The 20102-nt window shown below is 42.6% G+C and overlaps 1 protein-coding gene across 9 annotated transcripts in view, besides 1 other annotated feature; it reads right to left on the bottom strand.

The window, feature by feature from the left end:
• Positions 1 to 20102, bottom strand: part of ARHGAP25 (Rho GTPase activating protein 25) — a 116290-nt gene that overhangs the window by 25616 nt on the left and 70572 nt on the right. For 6 of the 9 annotated variants that reach the window (XM_011533207.4, NM_001007231.3, NM_001364819.1 and 3 more), the window contains 2 exons: positions 18898 to 18985; positions 13262 to 13378 (listed from right to left, as the gene is read on the bottom strand). In XM_011533207.4, the coding sequence (XP_011531509.1) occupies positions 13262 to 13378; positions 18898 to 18985 (205 nt within the window). Of the gene's footprint in view, positions 1 to 1173; positions 4674 to 13261; positions 13379 to 18897; positions 18986 to 20102 lie in introns of those variants that run through there. The other 3 variants (NM_001364820.1, NM_001166277.2, XM_011533209.3) reach the window with 2 other exon arrangements.
• Positions 11284 to 11343: an enhancer, noted in NCBI's record as "active region_15964". NCBI's record gives its function as "activates an Ori minimal core promoter by ATAC-STARR-seq in GM12878 lymphoblastoid cells {active_cell/tissue: GM12878}" and the evidence as "EXISTENCE:reporter gene assay evidence [ECO:0000049][PMID:35858748]".

The following is a 20102-nucleotide window of genomic DNA, read 5'->3' as shown; positions in this document are numbered from 1 at the left end:
CCGTCAAAGCTATTCTCTCAACAAGAACCAACCACTGGATGCTCTGGAGACATCAGGACCAACAGTGTCACTTCTTACATGAGAGAAAAATCATCTTTGTTTTTTTTTAGCTTGGCTAAGTCAGGTTTTGTCACTCTTAATCTCAGATCACATGAGGAGTTTGGAATCAGAAACATCCCTGGAACTCCAAAGACCTGGTCCTGAGTTATACCAGTGTCTGACCTCTGGGTCCTAATTGTCACCCCTTTGGCCATTAGCAGAGCATTTCCATCTTAATAGGTATAAATTTTCATGAATTTATTATAATAATTATAAGTAATATAATTACCATAATGTAATTATAATATATGTAATATGATAATTATAACTATTAACCAATGTAATTAATGACATTAATTTTATGCTGAGAACTGACCCCAGATACTTTCACATGTGCTATCTCATTTAGTCCTCATGAGAACTCTACAAAGTAAATATTATTGTTCCATTTTACAGATGAGAAAACTGAGATTTGAGTCAGGAATTTTTCCGAGGTCATATTTACCCTGTGATTCTATATTCAGTGCTTTATTTCCCTTTAGAGTTTAAAGCTAATGGAATAAAAGTTCAGAGATCATAAAGTCTCAAGGGAGTTCCTCTAATGCCAGACCATGCCAGCCCATGCCAGCCCCACCTCCCCTCATACCATGTTCGCCTTGTCTCCAGTCCTCAGACCTAAAATTTTGGACCCCATCCTGAACAACCACAGAAGGGTGAGGCCTCACTACCACACTAGTAACTGCCCTAGCTCTCCCCACAATCCATCTCCACCCCTTAACCCTCAACCCCTTCCTTAGATTTGCTGGAAAACTCCAGGAAACTGGGTTGCTTTGGGGAAGTGGAAATAGAAAGAGCAACTGTCACCTCCCTCCCTACCTTGGTCCTCCTTTGTCATCACTGAAACACTCCTAAGATCAGGACAAGAGCCCCTCCCCACCCTGCCTCTAGCCCAGCCCAGGCCTCAGGGAGAGCTCCCCACCCCCATACACACTGTGCCTGCCCGCTCAGCACTGATACCTCCTTCCCAGGGTATCAGTTCCAGAAGCGCTCCCCACCCCTGACAGGAGAGGGTAGAGGCTCTGGGAAACGAGTCTTCTAGTGGAAGAAGTGAACTACAAAATAAAAAAGAAATACCTTTCTTTCGGAGCTTGGGGGTTTTCCTCCTGAAATCCCAGCAAACAAGCAGTGCCAGGGCAGGAAAGCCACAGCCCAGTTCCCACCGCGGCATCCTGGGGATGTGAGGCATGGCAGGGCCGAAGACTCACGCCTCCGATGAGCCAGCCTCAGGCCTTCCCTCCTCCCCAGACTGGAAGAACCCTCTTCTCTCACTTCCAGATCAGCACATGCTTGCAAATACTGCTCAGGTTCTGACTCCAAAAAGGAAACCATGGGATCTGTCTGCACCTGCCCCAGCCCTCCCGGCCCTTCTTCCCCCAGCACTTCCCCTCGCCACTCACCTTTACACACAGGACTCTCCAGCTTTTAAACAGTGAACATAAAGCTGTCAAGGACCGCAATAAAAATAAGTGCCTCCTTTTACTTAGCAGCTAATTGTCAACTGCCGTTCAGGGGATACCTCCCAGGTGGGTTAAAAAAAATCCCACGCGGGAACCCTTACCAGCATTGTTCTATATATCAATGTGTCTGGCAGAAACACAGAATTTCACTTAGCGTTTATGAAGCCAGCCCACCATTCCCTGGAAATGCTTTCAGAGTTGCACATGGCTCCATGGGGGCCTTCAGAGATAATGATCTTGAAGGCAGTTTGTTGGGTAGACTGAGATGATTTTGTCCTCCTGATGAGCAGATACAGTAAATAGTGCAGCAACCCTATCAGACATACCCAGGAGATGGCAAACAGGCTCTCAGCATTACAGAGAGACAGGCAAGGTTGTCAGGAAGGGCCCCGGGGCTGTCTCATGCTGCCAACCCAGTGTTTATTCTCCATTCATTAATAGGCCAGGAATCACGGACTCATCTGACTCCACATTCTCTCTGCATATCAAATTCACTCCCACCCCCTGGCAATGTTGCCTCCAAAACATTGTGCAAACCTGTTTGCTTTTCTGCATCTCCACTGCCACCACCCGTGTCCAACCCACCATCTGTCCTTTCTGCCTGGACAATGGCTTGAGTTTCATATCTGGTCTCCTGCTTTCATTCTGATCTGCCACCTCCAGCCCAATCCATTTTCCACACAGCAAGTAGAATGATCTTTTAAATAGAATCTGATTTTTTTCACCTTTTTCCTTGAAATCCCCAATGACTACCTATTGCTGTTAGGATGAAGACCAACATCCTTAACAAAGCTATCTCCCCTTTTATTACCCTCCCCTCACTCCAGAGCCTGTTCTTCTTTCTGTCACAGGACCTTTGCACATGCTATTCCCTGTGACTAAGACACCATTCTGCTTCCCCCTTTTCTGTCTAGTTAGCTTCTGCTGGCCTTCCAGAGTTAAGCTTAATCATCACTATTTCAAGGAAGCCTTCCTTGACCTACTTGACAAAGATATTTTTTCCTCATATAGTGTCATGTGTTTTTCCCACATGGCTCTTTTCACAGTTGTAACTATGTTTTCCCTTGGCTCTTTAAAAGTAATTGCTGTGTCTTCTCCTAGCTTGTGAGCTCTTTGAGAGAAAAGACTTTGGCTTTTTTTTTTTCTCTCTCCTCTTTCTCTCTCTTTCTCACTGTTGTGCCCCAGTGTTAGCATAGAACTGGGCACATAGCACATATTAAAGAAAGAGTTGTTGACCAAATGAATAAATAAGTATCTGTCTGTTGTTAGGAGCTGAGGGCAGGAGAGATGAGGGAATTCATGGAAATAAGTAAATATCATCTATTTTAATATCAAATGTAGCTGGTGAGAAAGACCAGAACACATGGAATAACAATGATTGCACACCCCTCCAGGCTAAATTGTGCTGTGGATTAGGAAATCATGCTCATAAGGGTGCAGAGAACTTAAAAGAATGAAAGGAGAAAAGAAATCCAAGGTATATAACAATTCAATATTTACATACAGTATGCTTCCTGTTGGCAAACACACAATGATGCTTAAAACACAAGATCTTTTTTTTCAAGATGGCTGACTACAAGCATTTCCAGTAATCTCATCCGCTTAGAGAAACCAAGCAAGTGTGCAGACAACTGCACTTTAAATGCAGTGTTCAAGAAAGAACTTGGGAGTTCAACAAAAAAGTGAGAGGAAGCTTTGAAATCCAGGAAGAAAGAAAACAGGAAAGCTGTGTGGCTGAGGCCAGCTGGGAAAGGGGAGCGAATCCCCCAAATGGGAGAGGGTGAGTGAGTGCCTTTCTGCTGTCCACTTTCCCACTGGGGAATTATACAATCCAGGCCGTAGGAGAGCACCTTGACTCTCCCACACCACGAATCTTAACCTGGGGAGTGGCAAGAAGACTATGATATGGAACTGCTCCAGGGAATGTCCTACACCCTTTTTGAAACCTGGCTGGCTGCTGTGGGACAACATTCTGGATCGGAGCTCTTACAGGCTGTGCATGGGAGAACTTGGGTGGTGCTTGCAGGACTGGGGCTTGAGCGGGGGATGAACCCTTGCGGCCCGTTCTGAGAAGCAAGTGTGGAGTGGGCTCCAGCCACTGGCATTGCAACCAGGCACACCACCATCCCAGGTCCTAAGCAAGAGGAGAGTTGTTGTGGAGGCTTGGCCTTAAGCTGAATGGCATCTCCTATGGCCTAGGACTGAGTTGTGGACTAGGTGCAGCCTGCCAGGACTGACTGGGTGGCCAAGTTGGCTGCCATAGCCAGGATGGAGGAGGGAACTTTGCTGGGACTGGGGTGTGAGACGAAAGCAAGTCTCATTCCTGTGGGCCAAAGCAGTGGCCACTGGGACAGCCCTATCCTCCCTATCCTAAGACTTCAGGACAGCAAAGGTTGCCCCTCACCAAGCATTTCACAAGCGGCCTAAGGACTTCCTCTACCCCCTAATCAAGGCTGGTGCATGCATATGCCATTGGAGGGCCTGAATACAAGCTTGCTTGGTCCAGCTCTGCCCAACTTTGCCCCCTACTCCAAGACAGAGTGTGGGATCCAGGCTCCTGGGTGTTCCACAACCCAACTACCACCTGGGTTACCCAAATACCTCTTCTGGGGAACAGAGGTCGGGCATAAATCTCCATGCTACCCCCACCGCTCGTTGTTACCTGCAAGCACCATCTACTAGCCTGGAGGCTGGCCCACACAGCCCATTGAAACTTGAAACAACGGCTAACACAAAAGCACTGTGCTTGAGAACTAGAAGAACATTTCATGACCACCTTTATACCCACTGCCCCCACCATCCTCGCTGCCCAAAAGGTCAAAAGCCCACTCACCTGCCCAGTACACCACTACTACAATCAGCATCCAAAAAAGCCCCCCACAGGCCCAAGAATCGACTTGCCTGGAACTGCCAGTACAGGTGCCAGCATATGCTGCCTGAGGTCTCAAGGAGAAACACACTTGGCCCACCACTGCTACCACTGAAACCTGAAAAAGTAACCAATAACTGCACCCTAACACACTAAGGAATCCATAGATACCACTAAGGCTATTTATGACCAAGGAAATCATACAGCATCTTCACCACTGCACACACTAAGAAGCAAAGTCAAATGGCCCTACCCAACCAACATCATAGTCACATCTTCAAGAAAAAATGTCCCCACCCCATAATGAATGTAAATTCAAAAATAAGAGGAAGTGACTATTGCTTCAGATGTGCAGAAATCAATGTAACAATACAGGAAGCACGAAAAAGCAATGTAATATGACACCCTCAAAGGAAAACAATAATTCTCTAGCAATAGCTCCTAACCAAAAAAACTCCTCAAAATCCCAGATAAAGAATCCAAAATATTGATTTTAAGGAAGCCTAATTAGATGCAAGAGAAATCTAAAATCAATACAAAGAAATAAGAAAATCAGTTCAGGATATGAATGATAAATTTACCAAGAAGATAGATATCTTTTTAAAAATCCAAACAGGAATTCTAGAACAAAATACATTTATTGGAGGAATTACAGAAAACATTCAAAAGCTGCAACAGCAGACTAGACCAAGCAAAAGGCAGAATTTCAGAACCTGAATACAAGTATTTTGAAATAATCCAGCCAGGCAAAAATAAAGAAAAAAGAATAAAAAGGAATGAACAAAGTGAGTCATTTGGAACTATATAAATGAACTGATATAACAATTCTAAATACATATGCACTCAACACGGAGCATCCAGATTCATGAAACAAATATTACTGACCTAAAACTAAAAAAGAGATTGACAGCAACACAGTAATAGTGGGAACTCAACACCCCATTCTCAGCATTACCCAGATCATCTAGACAGAAAATAAATTTAAAAGTCTTAAATTAGACTTTATACCAAATGGGATGAATAGACTTTTACAGAACATTCTATATAACAATTGCAAAATACACATTCTTCTCAACAACACAGGGAACAGTCTCCAAGACAGGCCATATGTCAGGCCACAAAACAAGTCCCAAAAAATTTTTAAAAACTGAAATCATATCAAGTATCTTCTCAGACCACAGTGGAATAAAACTAGAAATCAATACCAAGAGGAACTTCAAAAACTACACAAATACATGGAAACTAAATAACATGCTACCGAATGATCATTGGGTCAATGAAGAAATTAAGATAGAAATCTAAAAATTTTTTAAACAAATGAAAATACAAAAACATACCAAAACTTGTAGGCTACTGCAAAAGCAGTGCAAAGAGGGATGTTAATAGCATTAAATGCCTACATCAAAAAGTAGAAAGAGTACAAATTAACAACCTAACTTCAAACCTCAAGAAACTAGAAAAGCAAGAACAGACCAAACTCAAAATAAGCAGAAGAAAAGAAATAACAAAGGTCAGAGCAGAACTAAATGAAACAGAAACCAAAGAAACAATACAAGGGATCAACAAAATGAAAAGTTGGCTTTTCAAAAAGATAAACAAAATTGTTAGACTTCTAGCTAGACTAACCAAGAAAAAAAGAGATCCAAACAAACAAATCAGAAATGAAAAAGGAGACATTACAACTAATACCATCGAAATACAAAAGATCATCAGAGATTATTATTAACAACTAGATGCCCACAAACTAGAAAACCTAGAGGAAATGGATAAATTCCTAGAAACATATACCTCCCAAGACTGAAGCAGAAAGAAATAGAAAGTCTGAAGAGACCAACAGTGAGTAGTGAGATTGAATCAGTAACAATAAATCTTCCAAAAAAGAAAAACCCAGGACCAGATGGATTTACAGTTGAATTGTACCAAACATACAAAGAAGTTCTAATACCAACCCTCCTGAAACTGTTCCAAAAAACTGAGAAGGAGAGAATTCTCCCTAACTCACTCTGCAGGGTCAGTATCACCGTGATACCAAAACCAGACAAGGACATAACAACAACAAAAAAGAAAACTACAGACCAATATCCCTGATGAATATAGACTCAAAAATCCTCAACAAAATACTAACAAACCAAATCCAACAGCACATCAAAAAGATAACACACCATGATCAAATAAGTTTTATATCAGGAATGTAAGGATGATTCAATATACACAAATCAATAAATGTGATACATCACACAAACAGAATTAAGGCAAAAGCCATATGATCATCTCAACAGACACAGAAAAAGCATATGATAAAATTCAGCATCTGTTCATAATAAAAATTCTCAACAAACTAGGCATAGGAGGAACGTGCCTCAAAATAATATAGGTCATATGCAACAAATGCACAGCCAACATCATACTGAATGGGAGAAAGTCAAAAGTATTCCCTCTAAGAACTGGAACAAAACAGGGATGCCAACTTTCACCATTCCTACTCAATAGAGTACTGGAAGTCCTACCCAGAGTAATCAGGCAAGAGAAAGGAATAAGTGGTATCCAAATTGGAAAAGAGGAGGTCAAATTATCCCTATTCGCTGATGATGTGATCTTATATCTAGAAAAACCTAAAGACTCCACCAAAAAACTCTTAGATCTGATAAATGCTTTCAGTAAAGTTTCAGGATATAAAATCAACATACAAAAATCAGTAGCATTTCTATACACCAGTAACGATCTAGCTGAAAACAAAATCAAGAAGGCATTCTGATTTACAATAGCTATAGAAAATAAAATACCTAGGAATATATTTAACCAAGGAGATGAAAGATCTCTGCAAGGAAAACTACAGAATCACTGACAAAAGAAATTGTAAATGACACAAATAAAAAAAATCCCATGCTCATGCATTGGGAAAATCATTATCATTAAAATAATCATACTACCCAAAGCAATCTACAGATTCAATGCAATTTCTATCAAAATACCAACGTCATTTCTTCACAGAACTAGAAAAAAAACCTAAAATTTATATTTAACCAAAAAAGGGCTCAAATAGCCAAAGAAACCCTAAGCAAAAAGAACAAGGCTGGAGGCATCATATTACTTGACTTCAAATTATACTACAAGGCTATGGTAACCAAAACAGCATGTCACTGGTATAAAAACAGACACACAGATCAATGGAACAGAATAGAGAACCCAGCAATAAAGCCACATATTTATAGTCAACTGATCTTTGACAAAGTCTATAAGAACATACCCTGGAGAAAAGACACCCTTTTCAATAAGTGGTTCTGGGAAAATCTGATTGCCAAATGCTGAAGAATGAAACTGGAGCCCTATCTCTCACCATATACAAAAATCAAGATGATTAAAAACTTAAATGTAAGATCTGAAACTGTAAAACCTAGAGTAAAGCTAGAATAAAATCAAGGGAAAACTCTTCTGGACATTGGTCTAGGCAAAGAATTCATGACTAAGGCCTCAAAAGCACAGGCCGCAAAAATAAAAATAAACAAATAGGACTTAATTAAGCTAAAAAGCTTCTGTACAGCAAAAGAATCAACAGAGTGAACAGACAACCTACTAAATGGGAGAAAATAGCTGCAAACTATGCATATGATAAAAGACTAATATCCAGAATCTACAAGGAGCTCAAATAACTCAACAACAATAAACAAAATAACCCCATTAAAAAGTGGGTAAAGGACATGAGCAGACAATTTGCGAAAGAAGACATACAAATGACAAACATGCATATGAAAAAAATCCTCAACATTAATAATCATCAGAGAAATGCAAATAAAAACCACAATGAGATCGCACCTTACGCCACTCTGAATGGCAATTACCAAAAAGTAAAAAAATAACAGATGTCGGTCAAGATGCAGAGAAAAGAAAACACATACACTGTTGGTGGGAATGCAAATTAGCTCAACCTCTATGGAAAACAGTATGGAGATTTCTCAGAAAACTAAAAATAAAACTATCATTTGATCCAGCAATCCCACTACTGGGTATACACCAAAAGGAAAGGAAATCATTATAACAAAAAGATACCTGCACTTGAATGTTTCTCACATGATTATTACAATGGCAAAGATATGGAATCAACCTAACTGTCCATCAACAGATGATCGGATGAAGAAAATATGGTATAAATACACAATGGTATACTTACTGTTCAGCCAAAGAATAGTAAATATGACATTTCAAAGAATGAAATCATGTCTTTTGCAGCAACATCGATAGAACTAGAAGCCATTTTTAAGTGAAACAAGGCAGACACAGAAAGATATCACATGTTCTGACTTATAAGTGGGAGCTAAGTAACGTGTACACACAGACATAGAGTATGGAATTATGGACAACAGAAACTCAGAAGGATGAGGGGATGGAAGGCGGTGTATGATGAGAAATCACTTAATAGGTACAATATGTGTTATCTGGATGATGGGTACCCTAAAAGACCTGGCCACTACTACATAATCTATGCATGTAACAAATTTGCACCTGTACTCCATAAATTTATACTAATAATAATAATTTCAAAAACATAGGACCTGTTTCAGGACTTTAAAACTGGGTTGGGTAAAGGAGAACAATGTAATGCATTGTTTCCTCACTCAGCAATAGCCTGAGCAAAACTTCAGATGGCTCATCTCTGGAGGAAGAGGACAAAAGCAGGTCTGGACAGAGTGTGATGATTTGCAATTTGGACTGCTTGCTCCCTGGAGACGGGACAGGGACCAGGTTTCAGTGTGGAGATCCAGAGAAGGCATGCCTGCCTTACTAAAAGGAAGGAGTAGTTTAGAGGAAATGGGCAGGAGTAAGCTGAGAATGAGTTGTCAGAAGTCACAAGCCCTTAGAGAAGGGTGGCAAGAAATTAGCCCACTGATAAGAAAAAGGCTGAAACACCAATGTGCTGCCCTCTAAAGTGAGAGGAACACTCAGAGCCAGCTACAGGCAGGAGGAGCCCTGAGGAAGAAGTTGGGAATGCCGTGAAGACTATGTGGGCCATCTCTCCAGTCAAGGGAGAAAAGGAGCCCAAAAGGGGACGGCAAGCCAGAAGAGGCATCGGCTCTGCACAATTGTCACCAGAGTAACTTCTAAAATTTAAAATTGGGATTCATTCCCTAGGGTGTACAGACGGGCTACAGGTGTCTGAAAATGTTTTGCTGTCAGAAGCAAAATTGTTTGTGTCTAGGTATTTTTCTGGGGAGAGTCTCTATAGCTTTCATCAGATTCTCCAAGGGAGGTCTTTGCACCATAAAGAGCTCCACCGAGACTCACCACCGACATACTTGGAGGAAGATATTATAATTATAGAGGACACAACCCATTTACTGAATAATCTCTCAGATAAGCTGATCATCATCTAACAGAGAAGAGCCTACTGAGGGAGCTGAACATAGTGCTGCTATGGGAAAATGACTTGATTCTTTCACCCATTCGATTAATAAATCTTTATTGAGCACTGTTTAGATTCTAGGATATGGTACTGCACAAAAAAGAGAAAAACAATTCCTGCCAAGTAGATTGAAGCTTTCATTCCAGTGAGGGGAGTCTAGCTAGGAACAAAACAAATGAGTGAAATATTTAGCATGTTAGAAGAGGTTATGTGCCAAGGAGCAAAGCGAGGCAGAACTGAGGGGTAAGGAAGGGGTCCAACGTTAAACAGAATCATAGAGGAAGGCCTACTAAGGTGATGTTTGATCAAAGACCTGAAGACGGTAAGGGACCAAGCCATGCAGCTACCTGGGGAAAGAGGATTCCCAGCGAAGGAAACAGCAAGTGCAAGGGCCTGGAGGCAGGAACACGGGTAGGATGTTTGAGGAGGCTGGTGAAGCTAGAGTGAAATGAGCACGGGAGAAGGTCAGAAGGGAAATGCGGGAGGGGAGGCGGTGGGCAGACTGTGCACTGTAAGATCATTATAAAGCCTTGACTTTTACTCTGAGTGAGAAAGGAAGCTATCAGAGAATGTTGAGCTGAGAAGAATCTTGATAAGACAGGTTTAACAGGCTCACTCTGGCCGCTCTGTCGAAAACAGACTGTAAGAAGGCAGGGGTGAACGTGTGGAGATGAGTTTCAAGGTTAGTGCTGTAATTTGACAAGAAAGGATTCCATCTCCTTTGGGGTGGTAGTAGTGAAGGTGGTGGGAAGGGGGCAGGCTCTGGTTGGAAAAAGAAAGTTTCACAAAGGGCTAGAAAGAGGTGGCAGCCACATGTCTCAGTGACTTCACAATATTTGGGAGGCATGTCTTTCCCATCTAGTCAACCCACGTTAGAGATTCTTTCCAAGTGGTAATGTGCTGTGGCAAAAGAGCCCTGGCCCTGCCCCTCACCTCCTGGGCCCACGGGACACGTCATTTGTCCCTTTAAGGCCAACATTCCCTAACTTACAAATAGGAAGAACAAATGTCTGATTTGTCCAGTGGCCTCAAATGAGACTCTATACTGTCTTAAAAATGCCCTCACATTCCGGGATCTATGATTTTGGTTAGTAACTTTAAACGTGGCTGGGCACGGTGGCTCATGCCTGTAATCCCAGCACTTTGGGAAGCCGAGGTGGTGGATCACCTAAGGTCAGGAGTTCGAGACCAGCCTGGCCAAAACAAGGTGAAACCCTGTCTTTACTAAATATACAAAAATTAGCTGGGTGTGGTGGCACATGCCTGTAATCCCAGCTGTTCAGAAGGCTGAGGTAGGAGAATCGCTCAAACCCTGGAAGCGGAGGTTGCAGTGAGCCGAGATCATGCCAGTGCACTCCAGTCTGGGAGACAGAGTGAGACTCCATCTCAAAATAATAATAATAATAATAATCTGAGATGCTGTATCAGAGGCAACACTGTTCTTTGAATAAATAAGTGCTGTTGCACTCTGATTTCCCCTTCGCTGGACTTTCCACCGCCTACAGGACTCATGCTTGACTTGCTTCTCAGGGTGGTGGTCTCGGGGTGCGGTGAGGGTGAAATCCCCATGTGTATCATGACAGAGTACAGCAGTTCACTACGGCAAGGCTCAGCCAAGCATCACAGTAGCCACAGAACCTAGTGAAAGTACACGGATACCATTTTGACTCAGAGAGCAGGTGCATGATTAGGCAACATCCACTACCCTTGTCTATGCAGATAGCTTAAAGCACTGGACTGGAGAAAACAGAAAAGGGTGGCTCACAATCTCATAATCCAGCGCAATAAGGATGGTCACAGCTAAGATTTTCCAGCATGTGGCCTAATTATGTACCTGCAGGTCATGTGCTCCCAGAGAAACAGACAGGATAAAATCAATGCTAATGTCCCCTTTCTTGGTCCCAGACTCTTATAAAACCTCTTGGCAGTTCCTGCTCTTGGTTGCTTTGAGAAGCTAATGTATCTAACCAGCAAATCTTTCTTGGTTGTTTAACATCATTGGATACAATTTCTATTTGTAACCAAATAAATGCTGAAATGTATCAATTAAGATTCCAGGCCGGGCACGGTGGCTCACGCCTGTAATCCCAGCACTTTGGGAGGCCGAGGCGGGTGGATCACGAGGCCAGGAGATCGAGACCATCCTGGCCAACATGGTGAAACCCCGTCTCTACTAAAAAAAATACAAAAAAAGATTAGCCAGGCATGGTGGCAGGCGCCTGTAGTCCCAGCTACTCAGGAGGCTGAGACAGGAGAATGGTGTGAACCTGGGAGGTGGAGCTTGCAGTGAGCCGAGATCACGCCACTGCACTCCATCCTGGGCGACAGACCAAGACTCCGTCTCGGAAAAAAAAAAAAGAAAAAGATTCCATAGCAACTTGGGGAAAATGCTTAAGCCATTCTGAAAAAAGTGTGTAGATGTAAACAGTAGATGAAAGATAAACATAAAATGCCTCTGGTGGAATATTTTTTCTTTACTTTCCACAAAATTATTGTGATATTCTTGAAATTTCTGAAGGAAGCTGTAGGCCAATGAAATAAATATTTAATATTCAAACTACGAAAGCCTCCCTAAATAATTTCCAAAATAACAGGCCACACAGTCAATACATAACTATATATTTAAGGTTATCTGGAGTTGACACAAGTAGGCGTGCTCCTAAAAAGTTGAAGGAAAATGTTAACTTGAGAACTCATACCTGTCGGTTTTTTCATATTTTTATAAAGGCAGGGAAACTTACTAGATTCACGTGTTTGTTAATTTCAGATAGTTTTTGCATCCGTTTTCTTTAGTCAGGACCCTCCTCAAATGTGGAAACATCACCAGGATTCCCAGAGAGCTCAAATTCTTGAGTTGTGAAACCCAGAAAAGTGTTGAATGCTGAACTCACTGTACACCTGCAAGACTTCAGACACAATTCCTGAACCTTCCCCAGTCTGATCATCCCTCTTTTGGACAGTAGCTTTATTTTCATGTGCTGACTTATGCAGTCTAACTTATGCTTTCAGCATAGCTGTTGCCATCAGTTCCCAGAACCAGGCAGACTCGTGGTGCTGCATGAGCCAGTGCTGCTGGGTACCCGGGGTCAGCTTATCCAACCCATTCATTTTACAGATGAGAGTACTTTGGCCCAGAGAGGAGAAAGCACTACTTCCAGATATCATACACATTTACTCACTGCAAAAGACTTGCCTTCCCTCCAGTTAATTTGGAGATGGCTCTTTGAGATGACCCAGGTGCCGCAGGGGGTGGGAAGCTAGAAGCTCTGAGCCCACTTTTCCTCCACATTTGACAGAGCACTTGGCCATGGGCATGCAGAGAACTGCTTTCTGGTTGTCTCCCTTGAGCACTGCTCAAGGAGCTATCACATTGGAGCTACTTCCTACTTTCTGAGATGTCATAGGCACCTGCCCAGGAAAGCCTGCAGGGGTCCTTACCTCCACAGGGTGTGCCAGCAACTCTCCTGAGGAATTTAACCCACTCCTCCATCTCCGCCTGAGAGCTGGCCATGAGGACATAGGAGTCCTGTCCCATGCGATTCTGGTCCCATGAGGCTGGAGGAAGAATTAGCACTTGTGAAGGTCTTAGAGTGATAAGAACATGAGAGCAAGGGGAAGAGAAGGGAACCAGACCTAAATTGATGTCTTGGTTCAATGAAGCACTACCAGCCAAACAACACAAATGCATTGTCGAATTATCCTCAGTGGAACTGGATATCCGGGCACTCTTACTGAAGCTCTAACTCAACAGACAAATCATTGAACACAATGGTTTGCAATTGGCATAGCTTGGGCTGAGAGCTGCTTTCATTTAAGAGGACAGAAGTCATTTCCTACCAAAAGGAAAAGGAAGTTCATGGTGCAGTTTCAGCATAGATGAGACAGGGTCAGCCCATAAAAGTTAGAAGACTTTAGATCATCACGCCAACCGTGGATACTTTCCTAAGCTAGTCCTGAGCTCAGTTGTGGGGGTAGGGTAGGAGATGACAACCTCAGGTGGGAGTGACAGTGAATAGATGTGTGCTTTTTTCACAAAATTGGTGCTTGGTGATCATATTTCTGCTCTCCTGGCCACACAACACCTTTCAAATGTAGGTTCTCAATACTCAGTTAATGGATACATGAAACTTGTTAGAACTTTCTTTACCATTTTCACTTCAAACCTAAGATTATAGATAGGTGTAGTGTTTCCTCGGTTGGTGTTCTCAAATGGACCAAAAAGGTGGGAGAAATTGAAGGGAACAGAAAGCAGGGAGAAGGAGACGAAGAGAAAGAATGTGGGAAAGTGAAAAAGGAAGAAAGAAGCAAGAGAGGGAAAAGGAGAGTATCAAACACAGGTCTTGGACCATGCAGTTAGTTAGTATCAGATCTGAGACTTGAACTCTAACTTCATCCGTGGACCTGCTTGCAAATGGAAATCCTCAAAGTTGGTATTTTCTTTAGTTGGTTAAAATAAAAAGGTCTTAGCGGGGACAAGAAAACAATAGTGATCCCTTTCAATTATGGGATATTAAATTTCAAAGTGCCTTCGTAAGCAGCAATCCATTCTTCTCACAATGGCAGGCCATCTCCCTCAGAGAGCTTGTTCTAGCTGAGTAGTTGTGCCTAAACCTGTATTTCCCTGCAGGGCAGGAAAAGACTTTCAAATCCCCTTTGGTTCTGGTCTCTTGGACCTATCTTAATATCACTGAGCCTCACCTTCTTTCACCCTTTGTGATAACCTGATTCTGACTCCATCTTGTCATTAGGTCATCAGCTTTTCTGACCATTAAAGCACTGGGCATTGAGAGTATCCTGAGAACTGGATGTTTTCAGAAGTAAAATGGTAAGTTAAAAATACTCAGGGCAGAACAAAAAGACCCTCTAGGAATTGCAATATCCCTTTGAAATAGAATAAGGAGTTAGTATTATTTCCATTTTATAGATAATAGAACTGAATCCCAGGGATGCAAAAGCACCAGTTCGTCAGTATCCAGTGAGTTGCTGCCAAACACAGGGCAAGTCTGTCGGTGTCCTTCCTCCCATGAAAGATTCCGCTGGCCCATATTGCTCCTAAATTTGACCTTGGACAAAATTTATCTGGTGTCTTTCCCCGCTCCGTCTCCACCATGCCTCAACTCCAGTCTACTATGTTGTTAAAACATGTCTTCTCAGTTTACCCTGATTCCTGGGAGGTCTTTTTGTTCTGTCATGAGCAACCCCACTGGGAAACACGCAGCTCTCAAGATGTTCCTGAATGAAGAGGACTTCCATGGACTAACTCTTCTGGTTAGGAGAGCTGATGACCTGATGACAGGATGATTGAAAATCAGGTTGTCCCAAAGGGTGAAATAATGTGAAGCTTGATGATATTAAGATAGGTCCAAGAGACAAGAACCAAAGGGGGTTTGAAAGGTTTCTGTTGTCCTAAAAAAAAGTAAATATTTGGGCATAATTGGGGTGCTAGAACAGACTTTCATTAACAGGAATTGCCTGACATTAATACAAAGCTCACGAACAGCACCTCTGACCTCAGGCACATAATTTATCTGACTTAAACACAGCCTGTTCAACATGTGTTACCCTTTGGGCTATTTCTCTTGTTGGAAATGGACCTCTCTTCTTTTCTTAATCTGCCTAAAGAACTCCTACCCATTCTTTAAAACCCAACTCAAATGTTACCTTTTCTAGGGACCTTTCTTCCCCCTACTCCAAGTTGAGTGGGGAGTCCTTATTCTATAATCCCTTAATATCTTGTTCTTACCTCTATCACTACAGTAGCTAAATTATCTTGAGCAATAGTTTCCTTACCAGTACAATGGAGATATTATTTAATATGTCCAAAACTGATGCCCTTACCCCCAAACCCCCGAAAAAAAACTTGCTTGCTACATGCACAAATCTCAGCAAATCCATCTTTTCCATTGTTTAGGCCAAAACTTTTGGAGTCAACATCGATTTCTTTTTCCCACATCCAATTCATTAGCAAATGAAGCCCTCCCTACCTTCAAAATGTGATCAGAAACTGCTTACTTCACAGCCCCTTCATCACTGCTATCTCTGACTTGGATTCTTGCAAAAGCCTCCTCACTGATCTCCTTGTTCTGCCCTTGCCCCCACTACTTACTTTTGTTTTCAATTCAAAAGAATTTTAAAACATGAGTTATGTCATGTCACACCTCTGCTCAAAACTTTCCAGTGGCTCCCCATCCTTCTAGCAGAAAAGCTAAAGTTCTCACATTGCCTGCAAGTGCCTATGAAATCTGTGCCCACCCCTGAGAAAATGTCCTATTCTTGTCTCCTGCCATCACTTCACTGTAACCACACTGGCCTCCTTGACCTTCCTTGAACATATGAAATAGGCTCAGAGACTTTGTACTGGCAATTTCCACTTCCTGGAATGCTCTTCCTCCAGCTGTGCTCTTAGCTGACTCCCTCATTGCCTTCAGATCTGTGCCCAAAGGTCACCTTCTTAATAACACAAACTCTGCCGGCTCTGTTCACAATAATCAATCAACCACCTCAGCCAGCACCTTCTCTCTCTTTGGTTTAATTTTCCCCATAATTGCTATCCTATCAGAAAAACTACATAATTTGCCCATATATTTGGTTTGCTGCTAGTCTCTTCCCACGTAACGTGCATGCAGGCTGCTTTGTTCTTTGCCACATTCCCAGTCCTGCAATAGTACTTGGCTCATAGGAGGTGCTCAATGAATTTGTCGTACAAATGAGTAACAACAGATCATAAAGTGGTATGAGAACTAAATGAGATAACATATGCAACAGAAGGAACAACCCCTTCCTGGTGATTCCCTGGGGTAGGAGGAGAATAGAAGAATAGATAGTTATGCTATGAGAGATCAGTAGGGAGAGGGAAGCCTACCCTAAATTGTTGCCTGCCCCCAATTAAAAAAAAAACTAGCATGCCTACAATTAAAAGTTTCTATGTGACGTTTGTGCAACTAAAACTGGTGATCACAGAGAGAGGATCCTATCTGGGAAGCCCATTTCTTACACCAGCATTAGCTCCGGAGAATCATCTTGCAAAAGAGGATGATAAAAAGAGGAACTAAAAATTCTCTATGTTATAACATGAAGGATATCTCACTTTAGGGTTGGGTGGAACCTTGGAAGATGATGGTATCTTTATGAAAATGGTTTCCTATCTTATTATTACTTTAGTATTATTTGTCCTTATGAGATGTGGTGTGTGTGTGTGTGTGTGAGAGAGAGAGAGAGAAAGAGAGAGAGAGAGCGAAAGAGAGAGAGAAAAAGGATCTGTTTGTGAATTCCTCTAGCAGGCCAGGAGACTGCTGCAAACATAAGTGATAATGAGAGAACAAACCTTCCTCCTGCACTGGTATAGCAATGTTGAAGAGTAGGTATTTTTGGTGCAAAGCCCACAGTGAATCTTCAGCTGGATCTCTCAGTAGGGTTACTCTAGATTGAAAACCCAGGCTTTGGGACACACATGTTACCATGGATGGTTGTGTCCCATGAATTGCACTGGGAGAAGCATCCTAAGAACAGAATAACCTTTGTGGAAAGGGAGAGAGATATTTCTAGTGAGGAGAGACTGAAAAAGCAGGCTTTCCTGCTTTTCCTCTGAAGAGAAAGAGAGGAAGTTAGACCTTCAGATGAAAAAGCAAGGGAGGCTAGGAATGGTGGCTCACATCTGTAATCCCAGCACTTCAGGAAGCTGAGGCAGGTGGATTGCCTGAGGTCAGAAGTTCGAGAGCAGCCCGGCCAACATGTGAAACCCTGTCTCTACTAAAAATACAAAAATTAACTGGGCATGGCGGCACACACCTCTAGTTCCAGCTACTCAGGAGGCTGAGGCAAGGAGAATTGCTTGAACTGGGGAGGCAGAGGCTGCAGTGAGCCCAGATCACGCCACTGCACTCCAGCTTGGGCAACAGAGCAAGACTGTCCCAACTCAAAAAAAAAAACAAAAACAAAAAACAAAAAAAACAAACAAGCAAGCATCTAGAAACTTAAAAATTTTTGTAAATTTGTATTCTATAAACAGTCATAGCCAAGTTTAGGATTTTTTTTCTGCATTATAATTATCTCTAGATTATTCCCAAATATCAAACACTGATATGACATGCACTGTATCAAATGCTTCATATTTATTTCCTTATTAAATCTTTACTATTATCATTATTGTCCCCATTTTATAGACAAAAAATCAAAAGGCAGGGAGAAATTAAGTAACCTCTTACACAAATAGTAAGTGCCAGGGTCAGGGCAGGCTAGCTCCAGACTGGACACTTCTAACCTCTATGCTACGCTGCCTTCTCCATCAACTTTCTTATGCACACAGTCACCTTGTGTGAGTGGGAAGGAGGGGGTGAAGAAAAGAGGCACTCAGGGGCCATGTGGCCTCCTCCGCTGTGGTCAGTACAGCAGTAGCAGCAAGGCTACACAGCCAGATTAGCCTCTAGTCCTGGAGCCCCTGGCAGGGCTAGGGCTAGCAGAGGAGCAAGAGACAGGGAGAAGAGTAGAAGCATCTCAGTGTGGCAGATCCAGGAGCATGACCCAAACTCCCCTTGTTCCAAATGCATTCAAGGAAGGAAACTCTTGATTTGAAAGAGGCACCTCCAATGTGCCAATCATGTGCAATGGGTGAGATGCAATGGGTGGAACCATCTGAGGCTGCTGAATTTTTATAATTTTTGACCCATCAAAATGGCAATTTCACGTGGTTCCATTTATATTTTAACTGTTAAATTTGATGACCTACTCTCCTTCTACAATGAGTTCATTTTAGTGAGTAGAGAAGGTGCACTTTTCATGTCAGTGGCTCAGAGCCTTGTACAGTAACTGGCTCCTAGCACACGCTCATGAAATGCTTACAGAGTTGAACAAAATGCTCACCTACTTCTTTCATGGGCATTATTCAAGCACTTGATACTAGTTAATAAACTACAATAGCTTCATTAACTGTATAAAGAACCATTGTGGGCTCTCAATAGGCTGGTTGGTTAGTTAGTTGAATTACTCTCCGAATATAGCTTTGACTTCTAGGGTCCAGAAGTAAAATGGGAATTTTACTTCTGCACTGCACCTCTGTCCTACCTGTGGTGGCCTACCTGGAATGATTTCAAAGACAAACTTCCCAGCTTCTTCTGGGTTTGTGGCGATCTCCTTGATTGTACATCCTGGTAGATACATGCAGCCCTGAAAGATGAAAAGTCAGGCCTTAAGGATAAGCAGCAATTTAATATAAACTAAAATTGGGTTGGACAACAGATAGGATAATGATGGGATGGGGAGGAGAGTAGGAGGATAGGGACATGGGAAGCTAGCCTCCCAGTTTTAATGGGGCCCCTTCTGCTACTCAGGCCTTGGGCAAATCAAAGGGCAGCTATTCCAGAGCAAATCAGGTGCCCAGAGAAAGACAAGGTTCTGATATAAGAATGAGCTAAGAGGGTGTCATCACCAATACTTGCCTCTTCCCACTTTTCCAAGGACCCAACTTGATGGCCAAATGAGACACTTGGTCTTTGTGAAGGCAATGCTGAGGCTGTGGAGACCATACTACCTGCCAAGCTGCCAGAGGGGTTCAGGGAGGACTGAACCACTCAGGTGACCATTGGAGGGGATGGGGTATTGAGTAGAAGGTGCTCGCACCTTCACTAACCACCTTGAATGTATTATTCATGTAGTCCTTCCAGCAGTCCTCTAAGGAAAGTATCATTATGTAAATTTTATAGGTGAAGAAAAGAGATCAGAAAGCTTCTATAATCTACCCAAAGTCATAGAGCTAGTAAGTGCCAGAATAGTAGTTCATCTCAGAAGTCAGTCCAAAGCCAGTGCTCTTCACCATCAAAGCTGAGGTGGTGGGAAATGGTCCCACCACCAAGCCCAGATCTATGAAGGGGTCTGAGGGTTTAGTAGGATTTGTGACCTCTTACACACAGATATATTATCAGAAAAACAAGCCACTTCCACCATGTGTGTGCATGGTGCTTTATCACTTACAGTGCATTTCACTTGGGATAATTCTTTTGGTTTCTTTTTGAGACGGAGTCTCGCTCTGTTGCCCAGGCTGGAGTGCAGTGGCGTGATCTCAGCTCATTGCAACCTCTGCCTCCTGGGTTCAAGTTATTCTCCTGTCTCAGCCTCTTGAGTATCTGGCACTACAGGCGCTCACCACTGCGTCTGGCTAATTTTTTGTATTTTTTTTAGTGGAGATGGGGTTTCACAGTGTTAGCCAGGATGGTCTAGATCTCCTGACTTCATGATCCACCCACCTCAGCCTCCCAAAGTGCTGGGATTACAGGCATGAGCCACC

Source organism: Homo sapiens, chromosome 2 (assembly GCF_000001405.40).
Source record: "Homo sapiens chromosome 2, GRCh38.p14 Primary Assembly".
Classification (NCBI taxonomy): domain Eukaryota; kingdom Metazoa; phylum Chordata; class Mammalia; order Primates; family Hominidae; genus Homo; species Homo sapiens.
Note: the sequence above shows the minus strand (reverse complement) of the source record. Positions and strands in the feature narration are given on the sequence as shown.